Consider the following 22,894-nt stretch of genomic DNA (forward strand, 5'->3'; position numbering starts at 1 on the left):
CTTTCTCCTGCCCATTGAAACTCAGACTAAAAGCCTGTAAATAGACAAGTTAGGCTCTGTCCAACTACTGAAATGGCAGTTAAGGAGAAAAACAACACTGTGTAAGGTAAGCATGCCTAAAATGGTCTCATGTGGTTACTTTGGTCGCTCTTCCAGCAGGTGATATTGGATAAAGTGAGTACAAAATGAGGGTGGGCGGCTTGAGAGCTGGGAGGAATGGAAGTGACTTCCTCACTTCTGCCGGAGGGTGTCTTTAAAGTGGGGACATGTGTGAGGTTGGGGGCATGGAAGCATATTTTCTTCCTGTCTTGATTAGGTTATTTGAGTGCAGGGAAGGGGTCATATGACTGAGGAGGTCACTTGAAGGGCTAGGGACTGTTTTTAATTAATGCATACTTTTACAGGAATGTCTTCTCCAAGAAGCAAGTTCAGAATTTTCAATATCCCATAAATTAAAGTCAGTATGCTTTCATTTTTAAAAACAATATGAGCTTAACCTTAACCGTCTTCAAATTTACATTCAATCTTTGTCACTATGTGTATAGAATGCATTTTTACATTGCTGCTCGAGTACGTATTTGAGTACATATTTGTGTTCTAGTTTTTTATTCTGTACACATTTTATAGAGTATACATATATATAATATATATAATGCTTTTTTCAAAGGATCAACACAGCCCTTAGACTTATCCTTTGATGGCAGTGTACATTTCCATCTTGCTATTATACCAGAATTCATCTGACTTTTTACTTCCTTGGAGGTATTTGGGATGTTTTCAGTTTCTTGCTGTCATAAATTCTAGAATACTGTGATCATTTTTTGTTTCAGTGTGCTTTTCAAACAGGCTTTATTTAAACATTGCAAAAGAAACTATTCAGATAAGTGTAAATAGACTTTAAAAGTTGAAATGTCTGCTTTATAATACAACAGTATTTCCAGTCCTCTTACTGTTCTAGATTGGCCTGAGTAAATGAAAGCAGGCCAAAAGATGCAGTTGGTCATCACAGTGAGATTGCAACGATCAGGCCTTAATATTCAAAACGCCCCTAGCTTGGAAATAGCCAATGGTGTTCCTCTCCCCCTTTCTTGAGTTTGTTCTTGCTTCCGCTTACTTGCATTTCTTTCCCCACAGTTGTTTGTTGCTGGTTTGATTGTGCTGCTGTTAGATGAGCTGCTACAGAAGGGTTACGGCTTGGGGTCTGGGATTTCCCTCTTTATTGCCACCAACATCTGTGAGACCATTGTCTGGAAGGCCTTTAGTCCCACTACCATTAACACTGGCAGAGGTACATCGCACAGCGACTGCAACTGCACGCGTTTTGCTGGATGTGTGCTGGGAACAAACCCATCGTGTCGCAGTACATGCCTAGAGCCGTTCTGGTTTGCTCTCCTAGGGGATAAGGAATGCGAATTCTTCAAAACTTAATGAGCAGAGATTTGTGGAGTAAGCAATACTACCTCAGAGAGAATAGTATCAAAATTTTAGCCTCTGCTTATTTAAAATTTCAGTGGTTGCAAACAGATTTTCAAAATTTCTTTTGTTAACCTTGCTTAAGGCATTGCTGCAGAAGTCATTTATTTGACTGATTTCAGCATCCGTAGGGGGATAAAAAGGTAGTGGATTTTAGATTTTTCAAATGAAAAGACTGTTGTTCATTGAATCCACCTGGAGCACTCCTACTCTGCTGCTCTTCTAATTGGCTTTGTAATAGCACCAAAGTTTTGAAATATTTCATTCTCTCTTTCCCCTTCCTCATCTCCACTTCTAACAGATACTGTCCTAAGTGGTTAATACCTAAACTCTGATCCCAGCCTTAAGAAAACTGTAATGATGATTAATGTTCTTGGTGCGGTAAACTTCGAGGCAGGCTCGATAGAGTGACATCTGTCTCTTATTCTGACATCTCTGCTCTGCTTCGCTGCTGTTTATTTTTCCTAAAAACACTCTCTCCCTTCCCTGAAGTAGAGGAGAGGCAAATCTCTATGAATGAAATTTTGCTTTGGTAAATTTTACGTTGTATGTTTTCTTCAAGAATAGTCTCTTGAGAAAACTTCGGATTTATGCTATAAAAACATAGATTTGCCTCAATGATCTAAATATTTGTAGAACCTGCTCACATGGCTATATCATAAAGCAAACATTGGCGAATTCTTTTGACCCATATTTTCTGCTGTATACTGGACTTTCACGGTTAGTTGTTTGAGCTTTGGGACAGCTTTGGACGATGAGTCCACAGGTCGTGTCTGTCTTGATTTTACAGGTACTGAGTTTGAGGGTGCAGTCATAGCTCTGTTCCATTTGTTGGCCACCAGGACGGACAAAGTCCGAGCTTTACGGGAGGCTTTTTATCGGCAGAACTTACCCAATCTCATGAACCTCATTGCTACAGTTTTTGTGTTTGCTGTTGTTATATATTTCCAAGTAAGTATAACCTTTTCACCAAAGTAAGTGGGATGTAGATTTTTATTTTGCTCTTAAAGAGAATGCCATCTGACATGCTGTTGTTTAACAAGTCAGGGTTTAAGATCAAGGGAAATAAAATTTTGCAATTAGAGTCTCCAGACTCTGATTTTAAGGTGTGAAATATTGGAGTCTCTGTACTTTTTTTGTTTTTTGTTTTGACCCATCAGCAGGAAGCAGACTCTCGACAGTTTAAAAGGCAGAACGTCTTTGTTAGCATTGTCTTTTCTTTTCTTTTTTTTTCCTGAGACGGAGTTTTGCTCTTGTTGCCCAGGCTGGAGTGCAGTGGCGCGATCTTAGCTCACTCTAACCTCCTCTTCCCGAGTTCAAGTGATTCTCCTGCCTCAGCTTCCTGAGTAGCTGAGATGACAGGCACGTGCCACCACGCCCGGCTAATTTTTTTTTTTTTTTTTTTGAGATGGAGTCTTGCTCTGTCGCCAGGCTGGAGTGCAATGGCGCAATCCCGGCTAACTGCAACCTCCGCCTCCTGGGTTCAAGCGATTCTCCTGTCTCAGCCTCCTGAGTAGCTGGGACTACAGGTGCATATCACCACACCCAGCTAATTTTTTGTATTTTAGTAGAGATGAGATTTCACCACGTTGGCCAGGATGGTCTCGATCTCCTGACCTCGTGATCTGCCCGCCTCGGCCTCCCAAAGTGTTGGGATTACAGGCCTGAGCCCCTGTGCCCGGCCGGCATTGTCTTTTCATCCCCCGCACTGTTCTTTGTTTTCCCTCTCTGGTCTCTGTTCTTTTCTTAATGTGTCTGGCTCCCCCACTTACTCTCCGTTTCCTTTTTTAGGGATTTCGCGTTGATCTGCCCATTAAGTCGGCCCGTTACCGAGGACAGTACAGCAGCTACCCCATCAAACTCTTCTACACCTCCAACATCCCCATCATCCTCCAGTCGGCCCTGGTGTCCAACCTGTATGTTATTTCCCAGATGCTGTCTGTTCGATTTAGTGGCAACTTTTTAGTAAATTTACTAGGACAGTGGGCCGTGAGTATTATGTTTATTTACATTATTTATAGTTTATTATAATTTGCATTTCATGGTTGTATTTTTAATGGAATGAGGTCGACATTGGAGCATTTGCTGTATTTTCAGATTCACTTACCTATATAGCAGAGTTTAGTACTTATCTGGAAGAACTGGTAAGTGTTGCAGAAGTAAGATTGCCCAAGCGCTTTTTATTATTTTGCTCTCTAGGAAGCACTTTCACATCTCATTTGAATGACCTTTTAAGCTAAAATTGTGGTTGATTTCATAAAAGTAATTTCCTATTTTGTCATCTTATTCCAGTATTGTCTACAATAATGCTTTCTAAAAGATGCTATTTGCTGGCTGGGTGCGGTGGCTCACTCCTGTAATCCCAGGACTTTGGGAGGCTGAGGTGGGTGGATCACCTGAGGTCAGGAGTTCGAGACCAGCCTGGCCACATGGTGAAACCCCGTCTCCACTAAAAATACAAAAATTAGCCAGGTGTGGTGGCAGGTGCTTGTAGTCCCAACCATTCAGGAGGTCAAGTCAGGAGAATTGCTGGAACCCAGGAGATGGAGGTTGCTGTGAGCTGAGATCACGCCACTGCACTCCAGCCTGGGCGACAGAACGAGACTCCGTCTCCAAAAAATAAAAACAAAAAATGCTATTTGCTGCTGCTAACATGTGAGATACTGGACTCATCCTAACCTTTCCTATCTCCCACCCTGCCTCCAGGCCTCCTCCATTTTTCATGGTCTGAATGGCAATAAGCCAGCTTGTGATGAGCTGGGCTAGAGATAGGCATGCTATTAACTAGACGGTAGAGACAGCGGTGCTGCTAGTAATATAATCCTATACATTCTCATATACATCCCCCATCATAATTTTTTTTTCTTTTTTTTTTTTTTGAGACGGAGTCTCGCTGTGTCGCCCAGGCTGGAGTGCAGTGGTACGATCTCGGCTCACTGCAAGCTCCGCCTCCCGGGTTCATGCCATTCTCCTGCCTCAGCCTCCCAAGTAGCTGGGACTACAGGCGCCCGCCACCACGCCCAGCTAATTTTTTGTATTTTTAGTAGAGACGGGGTTTAACTGTGTTAGCCAGGATGGTCTCGATCTCCTGACCTTGTGATCTGCCCGACTCAGCCTCCCAAATTGCTGGGATTACAGGCGTGAGCCACCACACTCGGCCCATAATTTTTTCTAAAGCCATCTAGCCACGCTGTTATTGAAGCGTGAGTTACTGTGGGACTGAATTTTCATTGGTTTAAATTCTGTCACCTAACAAAGGGGTATTTTCCCTCTTAAAATTATAGATTTTAGCCAGGCGTGTTGGCTCTCATCTGTAATCCCAGCACTTTGGGAGAACAAGGAGAGAGGATAGCTTGAAGGCCAGGAGTTGGAGACCTGTCTGGGCAACATAGCGAGACCCCATCTCTACAAAAAAACTTAAAAACTAGCCGGGCACAGTGTTACGTGCCTGTAGTCCTAGCTACTTGGGAGGCTGAGTTGGGAGGATTGCTTGAGCCCAGGAGTTTGAAGGTACAGTGAGCTGTGATCATACCACTGCATGCCAGCCTGGTTGACAGAGTGAGACCGTGTCTCAAAAATAATAGAATTTTAAAAGACTAATGTCCTTTATTCTTTGCCACAGTAGGTAATTCTAGAATTTGCACCCCACCAAAGAATAGTATTTTTCTGTACAGTTATTCTTGAAATATGGTGTTTATTCTGTGCATTTGTCTTAATATGCTTTTTTTTTGCATTATAAGTTACAAAGACTCATACCTTTCTGCTTTTACTGAATGTCATTTAAAAAAAAGGTTTTTTTAAGATAATAAGACAGTAACTCATATATTAGTTGAAGGGAATAGGATTCCCTTTATTCATAATACTTCTTTCCCATTCATTTAAGAGAAATGTGATGATCTCTGTTGTATTCTGGCTAATATTATATCGAGGACAGGAAAGTCAAGAGACAGGAATAAGAAGAATGCTGTTTCTGCCCTCCTTAGAATAGTCCAGCAGCAGCTATTACTCTGATCAGAATGTCATAGTGATAGTGCTTTGAGTAGTTGGTCCTGTACAATTTGTGTTATGATTTTGAGTAAGATTCTTCTGAATGAGAGAATGATTGGGAGATAGTGCTTTTGATCTGGGATTAATGATTCTAGGGGCACAGTAAAGAAATCATTGGGCAGTCATAAATTCAAGAACCAGATACTGTAATCATCGCAACTAAAAATTGGTTTCTCACCCCCTATCTGTATACCCCAAAACTTTATTTAATATGAGCAAATAATGCTGTTCCTATTTCTGTAAGATTTAAGTATATAGATAAAAATCCAATTATTATATTTATTAAAAGATTGCTCCTTATAACATAGAAACCACATAAAGTCTAGGCAGCAAGTTAAAGTCTTATGTCAGTATTTTAGTTGATTGCATTAATATTTTCATATGGAAGGATCATTCATAGGGATCTTAATGTACTGACTGGATACTCTCATAGCTCAGAAAATTTCAGATTTTAAGTATAATCAGAGGTTGATTGTAAATGTAATCATATTCCTATTTTCAGTAATGGAAGATTTTGTAATATATTACAATTTTTAAAAATGACTCAATATTTTCACAGTGTCTTGCATGTAATAGGTGTTCATCGTATAACTTTGAAGGAGTGAAGGTAGTAGACACAAAAGTACATTCTGAAACTACATAGAATGACTAGCTGTAGATGCCTTGAACTTAAAACACTGTCATTTCTGAGAAGTTTGAAGTGACATGCAAATGTATTCCTGACTAATTAGGTTGACCACTTGTTCTTTGTACTCCTGTTCTGTAGGATGTCAGTGGGGGAGGACCCGCACGTTCTTACCCAGTTGGAGGCCTTTGTTACTATCTTTCTCCTCCTGAGTCCATGGGCGCCATCTTTGAGGATCCTGTCCATGTCGTTGTTTATATCATCTTCATGTTGGGGTCATGTGCATTCTTCTCTAAGACATGGATTGAAGTGTCTGGTTCCTCAGCCAAAGATGTAAGTGTTTGGTTTATTTTAAAATAAAACTCTTGGCAATGCATGGTGGCGCACATCTGTAATCGTAGCACTTTGGCAGGCTGAGGCCGCTGGATCGCTTCACCTCAGGAGTTTTGAGACCAGCCTGGGCAACATAGCGAGACCCCGTCATGACTAAAAAAATACAAATAAAAATCGGCCGGGCACGGTGGTGCAAGCCCGTGGTCCCAGCTACTTGGGAAGTTGAGACGGAGCAGTAACGCTTGAGTCCGGGAGGTGGAGGTTGCAGTGAGCCAAGATTGCACCACTGCACTCCAGCCTGGGTGACAGAGCGAGATCCTGTCTCAAAAAAATAAAAAAGGCCAGGCGCAGTGGTTCACGCCTGTAATCCCAGCACTTCGGGAGGCCGAGGTGGGCAGATCCCATGGGTAGGAGATCGAGACCATCCTGGTCAGCATGGTAAAACCCTTTCTCTACTAAAAATACAAAAATTAGCTGGGCGTGGCAGCGCATGCCTGTAATCCCAGCCACTCAGGAGGCTGAGGCAGGAGAATCGCTTGAACCTGGGAGTCGGAGGTTGCAGTGAGCTGAGATCGTGCCACTGAACTCCAGCCTGGCGACAGAGCTAGACTCCGTCTCCAAAATAAATAAATAAATAGATAAATAAAAAATTTTTAAAAAAGTAAAATAAAACTTTGTTTTTGGAAAATTCATATTTAATTGTCAAAACAGTAGTGGATACACTCCTTTATAACTTAAGCTTTAATTTATACATTTTTAATGAGTCAGTGTCACCCCAACAGGCTAAAAATTGGTTCCCAAAAGGTAAAAAATTCTTAGATATTACAGTGGTTTGCAACCCTCCTGCAAAACAAAATCTTGTTTGGTAATTGAAGAAGGGTTGAGAAGCACCGGTTTCATATGGGTAACATGGAGCGGAGGAGCACTGAAGCTTTGGTTTCCTCAGGCTTAATGCGAATGATATGACAATGCAACTTTCAGGTTATTGTATGTTACGTGTTAGTGTGTGGCGAGCACTTCGCATAGAACGTGGTAGATGTAAGCAGTGAAATGTTCCAGTTGGATTTTGAAAGTCGTTTTTCTCTCGGCAGGTAGCTAAACAGCTGAAAGAACAGCAGATGGTAATGAGGGGCCACCGAGATACCTCTATGGTTCATGAGCTTAATAGGTAAGGCTGCTAGACTGACACCTTTATAGGCCTGTGTTTGTGTTTCAGTCTTTCAGTGTTGGCTAAATGTTTTTCTTTGTTCAAGTTCATATTTAAAACCCTTCTATTCACACAGATGAATCAAAATTTCACACAAAACTTGTTTTCCATGTCAAAACCAACACCTGAATTTTTCATTGAAATTGTGAGCACTGCTCTGCTCATCCCAGTGATAAAATCTTGCAGATCAGTGCTGTTCTCAGCATTGGCTGGCTGCACATACAATCACCAGAGAGCTTTTAAAAAGGATTTCCCAGGAACTGTGGCTTATTTGGTCTGGGGTGAGTTCCAGGCATCAGGGTTTTATTTTTTGGTAACAGCTTTATTGAGATAAAATTCAGATACCATGTAATTCACTCACTTGAAGTATATTGTTCAGTGTTTTTTAGTATATTCAGACTTGTACAGTCATAAGTTTAAACACATTTTCACCACCCAGAAAGAAACCCTGTACCTACTAGCCCACCTTCCCAACCACCAGCCCCAGACAGCCACTTTTAACTTTGTCTCTACAGATTTGCCTATTCTGTACATTTCATATAAATGGAATCATATAATGTATGTTATTTTGTAAGTGGCTTCTTTCACTTGGCATCATGTTTTCACAGTTCATATCCTTAATTCTTTTCATGAATAATATTCAATTGTAGGGCTTTACCACACTTTATCAGTTGATAGAAATCTGGGTTGTTTCCACTTTTTATGAATAATGCTGTTGTGAACATATTTGTACAAATTTTGTGCTGCTCAGCTGTCTTCCAGGTTGGCTGCTGTAGTCCACATTCCCACCAGCAGTGTATGAGGTTCCACTGCTGCCTGTCCTCGCCAGCACTAGCTCTGGCTTTTTAATTTCAGCCATCCTGATGGATGCGAAGTGGGGCACAATCACAGCTCACCGCAGCCTCTTGGGCTCAAGCGATCCTCCCCGCCTCAACCTCCAGAGTAGCTTGGGACCACAGGTGTGTGCCACCACGGCCAGCTAGCTTTTTTTTTTTTTTTTTTTTTTTTTTATCTGAGATGGGGCCTCACTTTGTCACCCAGGCTGGAGTGCAGTGGCACCGTCTTGGCTCACTGCAACCTCGACCTCCTGGGATCAAGCGATTCTCCTGTCTCAGCCTCCCTAGTAGCAGGGATTACAGGCACGCACCACCATGCCCGGCTAATTTTTGTATTTTTAGTAGAGATGGGTTTCCCCATGTTGGCCAGGCTCGTCTTGAACTTCTGATCTAATCATCCACCCGCCTTGGCCTCCCAAAGTGTTGGGATTACAGGCATGAGCCACCATGCCTGGTGGGATCCAGATTCCTTCTTTTGCTTGGGGGCATCCTGTTGTCCCAGCATCATTTGTTGAAAAGGCACTAGTATTTTTCCTTAAACTTTTTATTTATTTAGAACACAGACTGCAGAGTAGTATGATGGATCTCCAGCTCCAGTTGTCACCATCTTGCTGTTCTTGTTTCACCTATCACTGCCTCTAATCTTTTTTGAGTATTTTAAATCCCATTTTTCAGTTTTCCAGGTGATTCTAATGTGCAGCCAAAGGTTGAATTACTGAAATGGATCCTCAAAATCTTATGACATAAATTTGTTCATACCTACTCTTCATTCCACAAGAGGGAACGAAAGGTTACTCATTTAAAAATCTTAAACATTTTAATATTTAAATCTGTCCAGGAATCTCATGTCCTGTAAGATTACATATTGTCTTTCTTGGCTGTTGACTGGTTCCTGGAAATTAGGGTCAGAGTCTTTGCCTGGATCAGAGCTCCTGTTCCCATGCCGTGCCCTGCACACCCCTCCACACTGCAGCCTGTTCCCTCTGGAGTTCAGGGAGGCTTTAGACCCAGCTATGGCTGCTGCGCCTCGACCTGTCTTCGTCTCTAGCTGCCGTGCTGTTCCTGGTCTCTGCTGCCGCCTAACTTGGGGTTCTGTCTCCTAGGTACATCCCCACCGCAGCTGCGTTTGGCGGTTTGTGCATTGGCGCCCTGTCAGTGCTGGCTGACTTCCTGGGGGCCATTGGATCTGGCACTGGAATTCTGCTAGCAGTCACTATTATTTACCAGTATTTTGAAATATTTGTTAAAGAACAGGCCGAAGTTGGTGGGATGGGTGCTTTGTTTTTCTAAATGTTCAAATATTTCATTTTGTGCGTGTGAAAGGGAAAACACTTTGACGGATCGTTTTTGTCAGATGACACTGGTGGCTCCCCTTTTCTCCCCTCACAGTTTCTTGTTTCGAGTGCTGACTGACCCGTTTCTGAAATGGGCACCGAGCTAAGTCTGTGTGCAGCATTAGTACCCGCTGCCTTAAAACTCAAGTTTACATTATTCATTAAAAAAAGTACATCTAGTGTTGCCTGTAATGCTGGAAACCAGTGTATCTACCTTGCTGTGTTAAATCATGACAGTGAGACGGTGAGATGGATTCGTTTTGCACACAACATTCAAAACACTTCATATTGCCCCCACTTGTTGAAAAATAAATGTAGTTCAAATTGCCACTTTCCAGTATTTTTGAGCTTATTTAATGAGTTCTGGAACATTTATATCTAATCTATATTTTAGATAATTACTTTTTATACTTTTTTAACTCATGGTATCCCCACTCCCCACCCCCACCTCATTTTTATTTGTCCCTTCTCAAAGCAGCCACTTAGCCCACATGGGCGAAATCAAGTCTCCAGTTATTTCTGCCACAACTGCTTCTAAGGCCTCCTCCTTCTCCTCCTCCTCTTCCTCTTCCTCCTTTTCCTTCTCCTCCTCCTCTCTTCCCAGTGACAGCATCATCGTGCTGTTTGCCTGTATTGGCTATGCCTTCTAACTCCAACCAGTCACTTGAGAATATTCTTTCAAGATTCTGGGCCCCGATTCTTTTCTGTTTAAATCCCTAAAGCAAAGATCTAATTCTCAAGCAATGTCTGTAGTTCAGTGGGGGTGAACAATGAATATATTCATGCTAGGAATTTGTGTCTGTTGTTGTACTCACAGCAGCAACATGAGTGTAAACAGTAGACAATAAACTTTTATTTAAGAAAACTGATTCAGTTGTGTTGGAAAAAATAAAGAAATCTGATATTAAACGTTTTCTAAGATCATTTGTATAGGTTCAGTGTATTCATAAGAAGTCCACCCTGAGATGCCTGTAAAAGTCAAATGTAATTACACTTCAAACTTTAATCCTAAATTATTGACAGATAGATAGATAGTGACCAACTTAAGGGTAATCATATATGTGACTAACATTTGGGAGGAAACAGGAAAACAGTGGTCTCAAAACAACAATATCCCAGTCTCCATTTGAAAGAGCATAGATCTTGGTAAATCATTTTGAAAACTATGTGCTTTATTTCCCAAAAGATCAAACTTAATTTTTAAAAGACACCCTTTTCAGAAGTATGGGTTTTCATTGCTGTTTAGTTTCTTAGGTGTGGTATGTCTTACGTAGCTTATGCTTACAAAGCCAAATAATCGCAGGGCAAGGCAGATAAAGGCAGGCAGGATAGTGACAGTGGCTCGGTGAGCATCCGCCAAGGGCCTCAGACCACTGTTACCATAAAAACATCCACCCAGTGTTATGACGTCCGATTTTTTTTTCCCTTAAGAAGGTGGAAATATGGCTTTTAATACATAGGAAACCTTCAGTTTTTAAATGCAGGGCAAATAAACATTTTTAAACAGTGCCAGCCAGACTGCCAGTTCTCAAACAGACTGAATTTCCAAAGCACAACCTTTTCATGTTTATAAAAAATAGAAATGGCATTTAGGGATACATTCTAGGATTTGGCTCTGACTTCTAAGTTGCACTCTTAGGAAGAAGGAGAGGATAAGCTTAGGTCAGCTGCAGAGGTCATTCCCATGGGGAGTGGCTGGGGAGGAACTGGGCTATGTGGAAAGACTGGGCTGCGCCCGTCTACGGATGCCTTCTCTCTTGATTTCAATGATTGATAGCATGTGGCTTTCAGACCTAAGGAAGAGTTAGAGCTTTGGAGAATCACAATGCCTGTGATTGAAATCAGGATTTAAAAAAGGGTTAGAGGCATAGGGGAAGGCTACCATTACAGGAAGTAGTTGGATCTTAATTTTCACATGTATAGGGCTAGACAGCTTCATCTGTAAAGTTCTGTATTTCCATAATTGTTTTATCTTTAGGAAGTCCAGTGTAAAGATCTTACAGTTTCACTCATAAAAATATCCTGGGCTCAGACAGTGAGCCTGTGGACAAACGGAGGCTACTGCAGCATTCTGGCATTAGCACTCTGATTTTATCTGGAGAGCCCTTTCATATGGTTCTCAGGGCCTGGCTTACCCGCTGGAGCCAGGCTAGAAACATGACTTAGGGCTGGATGAGAATCATCCTGAGAATTCCGTGGGGGCCAGACTGGAAAGTCCTGGAAAATCATGGAGCTGCTGGAGGCCCTAAAAGTCAACACAAAAAGAGCTAAACTCACTCAAGAAGCTAAGAAAATGGCCCAGGAACACTGGTAGAACTGCTAGATGACAGGGTTTCAGGCATGGGAACCAGATCAATCTGTACTTCTTGCTGTGAACTACTCTGTATTGGGTTTCAGGTACTGGCTGATCTTGCTGGTTCTGTTCATGGTTTAACATCAAGATATTACTGCCCCAAACATGTCAGTCTTACAGATTTGTTTTCAGAAACTTCAAGTACTCTTTGAGGTAAGAATAGGAAAAGAGATCCTCAAGCACGTGCAGATGCTTGCGGGATGGACCTGAATTTTCATTAGTCTCCTAGCCTTGGTGTAGTGAATGGAGTCAACCGTTTTCCTTACTTAAAAGCTGGTTCAGCCTCAGTAAATAGATGAACTGAAAACTAGTAGAGGATTCTATCGAACCCTACCCTAGTTGGATTCAACTACCCTAGATAAATTTTGCATAGTAAAAATTCAATTAGAAGAGGCCAAAAAGCCTTTTTTTTCTTTTTAACGCTGTTTTAAACACTAACGGAGTACATGGTTATTTGCATACCCAGCTTAGAATTTTATATTGGGGGTTGAGAGTGGAAATGACCTAATTGAGAACTCAGGTCTATTTCTCTATACAAATACCCCTGTCTACCAGACTGGACTAGAAAAGTAACTGAGCTGTAGTTAACTGCTGTTGAGCTTTAAAAAAATTGGAGTAAACATACTTGCATTTATATTCTTTGTTAATTTTAGCTGGAGTTATAACAAATTTAAAGGAAGGTCACAACCTACCTGTAATTACAATTCCATACCACCACCACATCTGTTCTGTGCTTTTATTTTACGAAAAAGCTAATGGCAAATCTACATTAAACTAAGTTGAATACAAAGTCTTAGTGAAGAAGGCCTGGTGGTCTCGTTTACAAAAATGGCCAGTGTCATATTTGGGCTTAAAATTTCAAGAAGGGCACTTCAAATGGCTTTGCATTTGCATGTTTCAGTGCTAGAGCGTAGGAATAGACCCTGGCGTCCACTGTGAGATGTTCTTCAGCTACCAGAGCTGTGGAAAGCAAAGAAAACAACTTAGATCATGCCGTTAAGGAAGGACAAAACATCTTATTCAATCAGTGTTTGCGCAGCAGGTACTACTATATGTCACTTCCTATGCTAGATGCTGGTGATAACGTTTTTTTTGGTCTATAAGGATCTTAAAGAATAAAGACTATAAAGGCAAGATTACATTCCTAGCATGAGACAAGAACATCAGGGATAATGATTTTTTTTTTTTTTGGTGAGACAGTCTCGCTCTGTTGCCCAAGCTAGAGGGCAATGGCGTGATCTCGGCTCACTGCAACCTCTGCCTCCTGGGTTTAAGCGATTCTCCTGCCTCAGCCTCCCCAGTAGCTGGGACTATAGGCGCACGCCACCACGCCCAGCTAATTTTTGTATTTTTAGTAGAGACGGGGTTTTTGCCATGTTGGCCAGGATGGTTTCGATCTCCTGACCTCGTGATCCACCCGCCTCAGCCTCCCAAAGTGCTGGGATTACAGGCGTGAGCTACCGCACCCAGCCAGGGATGATTTTATGTGTGAAAACAGCAAAGTTGGAAGTGTATAGAGCCAATCGCTATACCTCATTTATAGCTGGGGTAGGGCTTTGCTTTTCTGAAACCAGATGGTGATGATTATGTAGGATCTTAGGGATTCCATCTTTTCTGCTGCTAGGGGATACATATGTTCCCCCGGCAAGTTAAACTGTGTGCATGTTAGGACTGGAGATCTACTACCAAGAATGCGGTCTCAGGACCTTATTACCACAGGCTTTCATTAAAATTTGTTTCACTCAGATGGAGGTTGCCAGATGTAAAATCAGCCTCTTGTTTTCCTAGCCGCTTGTTTGGGAACAAGCCTGGGGACATTTGCAGGCAGGAAGCATGTCCTACTCACCTGGGCACAGCAGGTGCTTGGTAACTGGCAGATGCTACTCTTTGTAGCAAACTGATCTTTTTTTAATTTTTTTTTTATGTTTTTGAGATGGAGTCTCACTTTGTCGCCAGGCTGCAGTGCAGTGCCACGATCTTGGCTCACTGCAACCTGCGCCTCCCGGGTTCAAGCGATTCTCCTGCCCCAGCCTCCTGAGTAGCTGGGACTACCGGCATGTACCACCATGCCTGGCTAATTTTTGTATTTTTAGTAGAGATGGGGTTTTACTATGTTGGCCAGGCTGGTCTGGAGCTCCTGACCTCAAGTGATCAGCCTACCTCGGCCTCCCAAAGTGCTGGGATTACAGGCGTGAGCCACCGCACCCGGCCAGCAAACTGATCTTAAAATGTAATACTTTCCTTCCGACTTCTCAAATGTTGCTGGTTGAATAAACGGTTTGATTACTGTATTTTGATTCTGCTAAAGCTAGGCAACTTGGTTCTTTTACCCCTCCTCCTTTATAGCCATAGTAGCCCTCTCTCCACCTCCCCTCACTTATTCTATTTTTTTCTCCCTTTTCTAAGACCAAAAGTGAAGTTAAGAAGGTGGAAGGGAGAAGGAAGACATTTTACAAAAAGGATACTCTTCTACTAAAAGATAACCCCGCACGGCATTTCACACTTGCCTACGTCACCCTGCTTTCCACGCACCTCCTCAGAGGGAGGGGCTGTTATTGTTCCTGTTTTATGAAAAAAGCCGAGAGAGGCTACAGAACCTGTTTGATGTGATAGCTAATTATGGTCCGCGGAGCCTCAAACCGAGTCGGGCCTGTGACTCCGAGCTGCGCTGCCTCGTATTGATTGTCATGCCTTTCTCCAAATACGCACCAGATAAACTATTGTATCTATTCAGTATGATTGTTCTAACTCTGGCTTTGAGCTGTCGAGGTGGCTTCTACCTTAGGTCTAGTTTTTGGAAAGGTGAAGCAGGAGTGGAAGCTCTCTAAGGGATACGAAATCTGATTTTATCCAAAGAAATCACAGCAGCCTTTGAAAGACACATTCAGATTTTCAAACAAACAACAGACAATTCAAAACCAGGCGCTCTGCTTATTCACTGAAACCGTAAGCTGCTGAAACTCAGGGAAAAGCTTAAGAAACTGGTCTTAAAGCTTCAGGCCAAACAATGCTTCAAATCACATTTGAAGTAATCACTTAAAAACAGTAGAAAAATCAGTTATCAATTACCTAAAACACTTATACCCAATAAAATATTCCCATGATGACAAGTGTCTGCTTCTTTCTAGATGAGTGAAAGGGATTTGCCAGCCCATACAGAGGTGCTCCTTGAAGGGCCCATGGTATGTCTCCATACAGTATCTCCTCGTCTCCACACAGTATCTCCTCATGTCTCCATACAGTATCTCCTCTCGTGGTTTTATCAAAGGACTTTTCTCCCCATAAGCTTACTGTTTACAAAGTCTCTAAAAGATGGGTGGCCAAGAATTATACAATGCATCTACATGACCAGTGATTTCTAAGGGCCACACAGCTGGTTTGGTTTATTATGTGAAAAGCATATCACACGGAGTATACAGGAAATACCTCAAGTATTTGTTGAAGGAGCATCATCAATTTCTCCTTGAACATACAGCCTCCACAAAGGACCATCCCTCATACTAGCATACTTGAGGAAAAGCTAACAGCTTATCTACCCACACCTTTGCATTGCTATGGACTGAAGGTTTAAAGTGTAGAATCGTTTTGGCTACTCAGCAGGAATGTCATCTGGGCCATTCTGTAGGAGAAAAAGCCTCTACCAAAAGTTTGCACTTGACCCAGAATGCTTTGCTCTTATTTTCAAACTCTGTGCCACCCAGAAAGGAAAATTAGTAGTGGTCACCTGCAGTTTTACAAGTTGCTAGGCATTTGACTTTAGTGATACAAAAAAGATAAAGAAATGGAGTTATATTTAGTACCCAGTTTGCTGGGATGGGGACGGGGAGAACTGGAGAAACTGGGTGGCGGTCTGGAGAATGCTTACCATCAAGTCTCTGCAGCAGGTCATTCTTGGGTAAAGAAATGACTTCCACAAACTCTAAACAGACAAAGTGCAAGTGAAAACAAAGCTAACGTCAAGAGCCTACCAAAACAACCCAAAATGTCTGCAGCCATCACCACTACACTAAGTCATACACGCTCGGCCACCAGGAGTTGCAGAACATACCTCCATCCCCTGGAAATAAACAGAAGGAAAACATTTCAGCAAGGCCTGGAGTGGTAACATCGGAAGACTTTTATACAAGAGGCGTCAAAAAGGCTTTGAGAATTTCACAGAAGCCTGGGTTTCTGCTAACTTAATTTATATACATTGTCAAACTCGAGCAGTATGAAGTTATTGTTCTCCACATAATGTTAAGTAGCAAAATTTAAAGCATATTCGATAGTATGTATATTTTTATAGATATGAATCTGCGTATTATGTAAAATATACAGAACATATAAAAACTTACCTTTTAACCACTATGAAGGTACAATTCAGTAGCATTAAATAACATTCAAAAAGGTGCACAACCACCACCAGTATCCATCTCCAGAACTTTTCATGACACCCAACAGAAACTCGGGATCCACTCAACACTAATTCCCCATCCCTAGTAGCGCTTACTCTACTGTCTTCCTCTATCAGTTTGTCTATTCTGGGCACCCAGATACGTAGAATCAGAGTATTTGCCCATCATGTTATCGCATGTTTCAGCGTGTATGTGTGTTTGTGTGTATACCACACTTTGTGGATGCATTCATCTGCTGGCAGACACCTGGGTTGTTTCCACAGAGGCGGCCATGAACACAGGCACGCAAGTATATGAGTCCCTGTTTCACTTCTTCTGGGTGTAGACTTAGGAGATGAAATGCCAGATCATATAATAATTCTGTATCTAATATGCTGAGGAACTGCCAAACTTTTCCACAGTGTCTCATATGTATATGTGCAGTTCAAAAATTAAGATTTATTTTATTTATTTATTTATTTATTTATTTATTTATTTATTTATTTATTTATTTTTTGGAGACAGGGTCTCAGTCTGTTGCCCGGGCTGGAGTGCAGTGGTGTGATCTTGACTCACTGCAACCTCCGCCTCCTGGGTTCAAGTGATTCTTGTGTCTCAGCTTCCCGAGTAGCTGGGATTACAGGTGCGCACCACCATGCCTGGCTAATTTTTGTATTTTTAGTAGAGTCAGGGTTTCACCATGTTGGCCAGGCTGATCTCGAGCTCCTGACCTCAAGTGATCCACCCACCTCAACCTTCCAAAGTGCTGGGATTACAGGCATGAGCCACCACGCCCGGCAAAAAATAAGACTTAAAATTAGTTGCAGTGGGATACTGAAACATAAATATGAACAACTGAAGAGGGTAAGAAGTTAAAGAATATCACTGATACTGATTTACTGTGGTGCACATATAAATACCCCCTTTAAAAGGATGGGAGAGACAACACGGAATTGACAGAGACATCACAGCTTTTGAATCCAAAGTTGCTAAGAAATATTATAGAGCAAAGAGAAATAGTGAATAATCTGCTGCCCGTTAACAATTACTTAGGCCATTTTTTTTTTTTTAAGAGAGACATGGTCTCATTCTGTCACAGAGTGGCACCATCATAGCTCCTCCAACTCCTGGGCTTAAGTGATCCTCCTGCCTCACCTTCCAGAGCAGCTGGGACTACAGGGGAACTTAGGCCATTCTTAAAATATACATGAAGACAGAAACCAGGGTGATTTAAGTTTCTCACTGTTTACTACTTAAGCCTGCAGCTCATATTACTAAGTGGGAATACACTTCATATAGAAAACAGGGAAATATGTCATTTAACATTTTTTTACAAAGAAAGCGTAAAGATGAATGAAGTGGCAAAAGAAAAATGCTAAAATACATGATTAGGAAGAGAGACAAGAATACTGATGAAGTCTATTTGAAAGACCGATTCTTTCCATGAAAGACTACATTCTTTTAATAAATCAAACTAGCAGCAAGTTCCAAGACACGTAATGCAACCACACCACCTTCATCACAGCCGACACACACATACCTGGCTTTGGCTTCGGCCTTGCGTTTTCGGCATCATCTCCGTTAATGGTGACTGTCACGATGTGTATAGTACAGTTTGACAAGCCTGGGTCCATACAGACCGCTGTGGAGAGAAGGGACAGTCAGATGCGTCAGTCCCTTTGGCATTTGTTTCACTATGGTCTTAGGAAGAAGATGCGTCCCGCAGCTCAGCATTGACGTGGAGGTGATGCGGGAAAACTAGTTCTCACATTTGGTAGGCAGATCTGCAGGCTGCAAAGCATCTGGGCACTCACACTCTCCCCAGAGCTCTCGAGTCAAGCTTGCTAGGTCTGCGGGGTTAGATGGTACTGTCAAGTCATAAAATCCCTTCACCACATCAAACTCAAAAAAATCTTCCAGTGATGAGGGTAGCACATGCATGAGATGGGTGAGCAATAAAACTCAGGGGGTAGGAAATTCCTAAAGGCAATTGATTTTTTGAGACAGAGTTTCACTTTGCTCTTATTGCCCAGGATGGAGTGCACTGGCGTGATCTTGGCTCACTGCAACCTCTGCCTCCTGGGTTCAATTCTCCTGCCTCAGCCTCCCGAGTAGCTGGGATCACAGGTGTGCGCCACCCGGCTAATTTTTGTATTTTTAGTAGAGATGGGTTTCACCATGTTGGTCAGGCTGGTCTCGAACTCCTGACCTCAGGTGATCCACCTGCCTCGGCCTCCCAAAGTGCTGGGATTACAGGCATGAGCCACCACATCCAGCCAAAAGGCAATTTAATTTCATTAATTCTCCCCCAACTTCAGGCCCTTCTGGCTCCAGTTTCCTCCTGGGAGGGGAGATTCCCTTACACTTGGTGACCAGTCCTAATCTGTGATTTCTTTCTCTTCAGTGAATTCTGAGCGTAAAGAACACCCAAATAATCAATCCCTTCCCAGACGGAGGAATCCATCACTTGGTGAATTTTCAAGCAATACCAACCTGGAGAACATTCGGCAATGTCCCCTTTGTAGCCAGTTTCTTCTTCAAGCTCCCGGAGAGCAGCTGCTTCTGGGGTTTCACCATCATCTATGAGACCTGCAAGTCCAAATCATTGGTGTGATGGGAGCGGGAAATCCGGTTCTTTAAACCCTCCTTTTTTTTTTTTTGAGATGGAGTCTCACTCTGTCGCCCAGGCTGGAGTGCAGTGGTGCGATCTCGGCCCACTGCAACCTCCGCCCGTCCAGGTTTAAGCAATTCTCTGCTTCAGCCTCCAGAGTAGCTGGGATTACAGGCGCGTGCCACCACGCCCAGCTAATTTTTTGTATTTTTAGTAGAGATGGGGTTTCACCATCTTAGCCAGGCTGGTCTTGAATTCTTGATCTCATGATCCACCCACGTCAGCCTCCCAAAGTGCTGGGATTACAGGTGTGAGCCACTGCGCCCGGCTGAACCCCTCATTCTTGTAACACACCTGCTGCTGCACTACGTTAGGAGAATCGGAGCACTGTGAAAAGTGGTCTTACAGAGAAACCTGAGGATTGGAACTCTTTTTTTTTTTTTTTTTGAAGATGGGAGTCTCACACTGTTGCCCAGGCTGGAGTGCAGTGGTGTGATCTTGGCTCACTGCAACCTCTGCCTCCTGGGTTTAAACGATTCTCCTGCCTCAGCCTCCTGAGTATCTGGGACCACAGGTACACACCACCATGCTCGGCTAATTTTTGTATTTGTAGTAGAGGCTAATTTGTATTTAGTCTCACCATGTTGGCCAGGCTGCTTTCGAACTCCTGGCCTCAAGTGATTCACCCGCCTCAGCCTCCCAAAGTGCTGGGATTACAGGCATGAGCCACTGTGCCCAGCTTGGAATTTTTATAGAAACAAAAAGGCGAAAGAATAAAACTCTGAGCAGATGAATCAGGTTCTGAAGGCATCATCCAGTCGTCCTATTCAGACCCAGATCCATCATGAGCCTTCACGACCATCTCCACGCTGCTCTGCACAGCACGGGCAGCATCTGTGAGGAGATGTGACTTGGTGGTGACCAACTGGCTTAGGCTTGGGAGCTTGCTGTGTGGCTGCAGCACAGGAAGCCTGCTCATATTCTGCTTCCTCACACGTAGGATGCTGACAGCATCACCTGTCTTGTCTTCCTCCCTCATAGTAAAACACCGAGGCCTGGGAATGAAAGGCCAGAAAGGAGCAAACTGGTGGCCATTAGGGGACTCCCATGGCCACTGTGAGGAGTGAACAGAGAGGCCAAGGAAGAGGAAGGGAGCAGCAACGCAGACTCTTTTTCCTGAAAGGAATTAAAAAATATAATAAGGCTGGGCGTGGCGGCCCACACCTGTAACCCCAGCACTTTGGGAGGCCGAGGCGGGCAGATCACCTGAGGTCAGGGGTTCGAGACCAGCCTGGCCAACATGGTGAAACCCTGTCTCCACTAAAAATACAAAAAATTAGCCAGGTGTGGTGGTACGCACCTGTATTCCAGCTACGCGGGAGGCTGAGGCAGGAGAATCGCTTGACCCTGTTAGGCGGAGGTTGCAGTGAGCTGAAATCGTGCCACTGCACTCTAGCTTGGGCAACAAAAGTGAAACTGCATCTCAAAAAATAAATAAATAAAATAAAATAAAATAATGAAAAACTCAGGCTGGGTGTGGTGGCTCACGCCTGTAATCCCAACACTTTGGGAGGCTGAGGCAGGAGGATCACTTGAGGCCAGGAGTTTGGGGCCAGCCTGGGTGACAAAGCAAAACCCCATCTCTACAAAAAATTTAAAAATCGAATGCGGTGATGCACGCCTGCAGACCCAGCTACCCAGGAAGCCAAGGCAGGAGGATCACTTGAGCCCAGAAGGTCAAGGCTGCAGTGAGCTGTGATTGTGCCACTGCACTCCAACATGGGCAACAGAGCTAGACATAGTCTCAAAAAAAGAGCCCGGGCATGGCGGCTCACACCTGTAATCTTAGCACTTTGGGAAGCTAAGGCGGGCAGATCACTTGAGCCAAGGAGTTAGAGATCAGCCTGGGCAACATGGCAAAACCCCATCTCTACAAAAAAATACAAAAAATGAGGTGGGAGGATCACCTCAGCCTGGGGAGGTTGAGGCTGCAATGGGCTGTGATGGTGCCGGAGCACACCAGCCTCAGCAACAGAGACCCCATCTCAAAGAAAAAAGAAAAAGTGAGAGAAGAATTTATTCACGTTAATATTAAAAGTAATTAAATAGCCTGGCCAGGCGTGGTGGCTCACGCCTGTAATCCCAGCACTTTGGGAGGCCGAGACCAGCCTGACCAACATGGAGAAACCCCGTCTCTACTGAGAATACAAAATTAGCCGGGTGTGGTGGCACATGCCTGTAATCCCAGCTACTCAGGAGGCTGAGGCAGGAGAATCACTTGAACCCGGGAGGCGGAGGTTGCAGTGAGCTGAGATCCTGCCATTGCACTCCAGCCTGGGCAACAAGAGCAAAACTCTATTTCAAAAAATAAAAAAATAAAAAAAAAGGTAATTAAATAGCCTTCAGTAAAATGGTGAGGAAATGAGAAAAATCATAGTTGTTAACCATGTGTTACCAGCAGCTAGCCTTTTAAAATATAAAACTTTGGCTGGGTGTGGTAGTTTAGGCCTGTAATCCCAGCACTTTGAGAGGCCAAGGTGGGTGGATCACCTGAGGTCAGGAGTTCGAGACCAATCTGGTGAACATGGTGAGAGCCCATCTCTACTAAAAATACAAAAATTAGCCGGGTGTGGTGGCTCATGCCTATAATCCCAGCTACTCAGGAAGCTGAGGCAGGAGAATCACTTGAACCCGGGAGGTGGAGGCTGCAGTGAGCTGAGATCGTGCCACTGCACTCCAGCCTGGGCAACAGAGCAGGACTCCGTCTCAAATAATAATAATAAAACGTATACCACTAATAACAAATAGATGAGATTTAATCTCTTTAGATGGGAACAATCCAATAAAGTCCTACAATAATATAGGGCAATAAATTTTGGAGAGCTTTAATTACTGTGCAAGAAAAATATTCTAGTTGAAATGAAGAGTCTCCTTGGCCTGTTTCCGCACAGCAGAGCAAACCGTCTTCTCCATTCACATTTCTTGGAGTTAAGAGCCTGGCCTAGGCTGGGCGTGGTGGCTCACACCTGTAATTCCAACACTTTGGGGGGCCAAAGTGGGTGGATCACCTGAGGTCAGGAGTTTGAGATCAGCCTGGGCAACACAGTGAAACCCTGTCTCTACAAAAAATACAAATATTAGCCACGTGTGGTGACACACGCCTGTAATCCCAGCTACTCAGGAGGCTGAGGCAGGAGAATCGCTTGAACCCAGGAGGCGGAGGTTGCAGTGAGCCGAGATCACGCCACCGCACTCCAGCCTGGGTGACAGAATGAGACTCCATCTCAAAAAAAAAAAAAGCCTGGCCTACTTATCATTGGAAATTTCCATTAGCAGATGGCTAATGACAAACAATCAAATAAGCTGAGAAGGGGAAGGGCAATTACTCAAAAGGCTGGAGACGGCAGGGTGCAAGGGCTCACGCCTGTAATCCCAGCACTTTGCGAGGCCAAGGCAGGCAGATCACAAGGTCAGGAGATCGAGACCATCCTGGCCAACACGGTGAAACCCTGTCTCTACTAAAAATACAAAAAATTAGCCGGGCGTGGTGGCGGGCGCCTGTAGTCCCAGCCACTCGGGAGGCTGAAGCAGGAGAATTGCTTGAACCCAGGAGGCGGAGGTTGCAGTGAGCCGAGATCGTGCCACTGCACTCCAGCCTGGGTGATAGAGCGAGACTCCGTCTCACAAAACAAAACAAAAACA

General features: G+C 43.4%; 2 protein-coding genes across 8 annotated transcripts in view; one reads left to right on the forward strand and one right to left on the reverse strand.

The window, feature by feature from the left end:
* Window positions 1-15,315, forward strand: part of SEC61A2 (SEC61 translocon subunit alpha 2) — a 40,318-nt gene extending 25,003 nt beyond the window's left edge. For 2 of the 5 annotated variants that reach the window (NR_024577.3, NR_024576.3), the window contains 7 exons: window positions 1,135-1,288; window positions 2,264-2,424; window positions 3,265-3,462; window positions 6,287-6,478; window positions 7,570-7,646; window positions 13,110-13,250; window positions 14,615-15,315. Coding sequence is in view for 3 of the 5 variants with exons in the window: in NM_001142628.1 (NP_001136100.1) it covers window positions 1,135-1,288; window positions 2,264-2,424; window positions 3,265-3,462; window positions 6,287-6,478; window positions 7,570-7,646; window positions 9,625-9,811 (969 nt within the window). In the remaining 2 variants the exon portion in view is untranslated. Of the gene's footprint in view, window positions 1-1,134; window positions 1,289-2,263; window positions 2,425-3,264; window positions 3,463-6,286; window positions 6,479-7,569; window positions 7,647-9,624; window positions 10,765-13,109; window positions 13,251-14,614 lie in introns of those variants that run through there. The other 3 variants (NM_001142628.1, NM_001142627.3, NM_018144.4) reach the window with 3 other exon arrangements.
* NUDT5 (nudix hydrolase 5) overlaps window positions 10,687-22,894 on the reverse strand; it is a 30,562-nt gene continuing 18,354 nt past the window's right edge. For 2 of the 3 annotated variants that reach the window (NM_014142.4, NM_001321648.2), the window contains 5 exons: window positions 19,075-19,170; window positions 18,122-18,223; window positions 16,257-16,265; window positions 16,074-16,127; window positions 10,687-13,168 (listed from right to left, as the gene is read on the reverse strand). In NM_014142.4, coding sequence (NP_054861.2) covers window positions 13,059-13,168; window positions 16,074-16,127; window positions 16,257-16,265; window positions 18,122-18,223; window positions 19,075-19,170 — 371 coding nt within the window. In that variant the 3' untranslated portion in view covers window positions 10,687-13,058. The remainder of the gene's footprint in view (window positions 13,169-16,073; window positions 16,128-16,256; window positions 16,266-18,121; window positions 18,224-19,074; window positions 19,171-22,894) is intronic. The other variant, NM_001321647.2, reaches the window with a different exon arrangement.

The sequence above is a fragment of the Homo sapiens genome, chromosome 10 (genome assembly GCF_000001405.40).
Source record: "Homo sapiens chromosome 10, GRCh38.p14 Primary Assembly".
Lineage (NCBI taxonomy): Eukaryota > Metazoa > Chordata > Mammalia > Primates > Hominidae > Homo > Homo sapiens.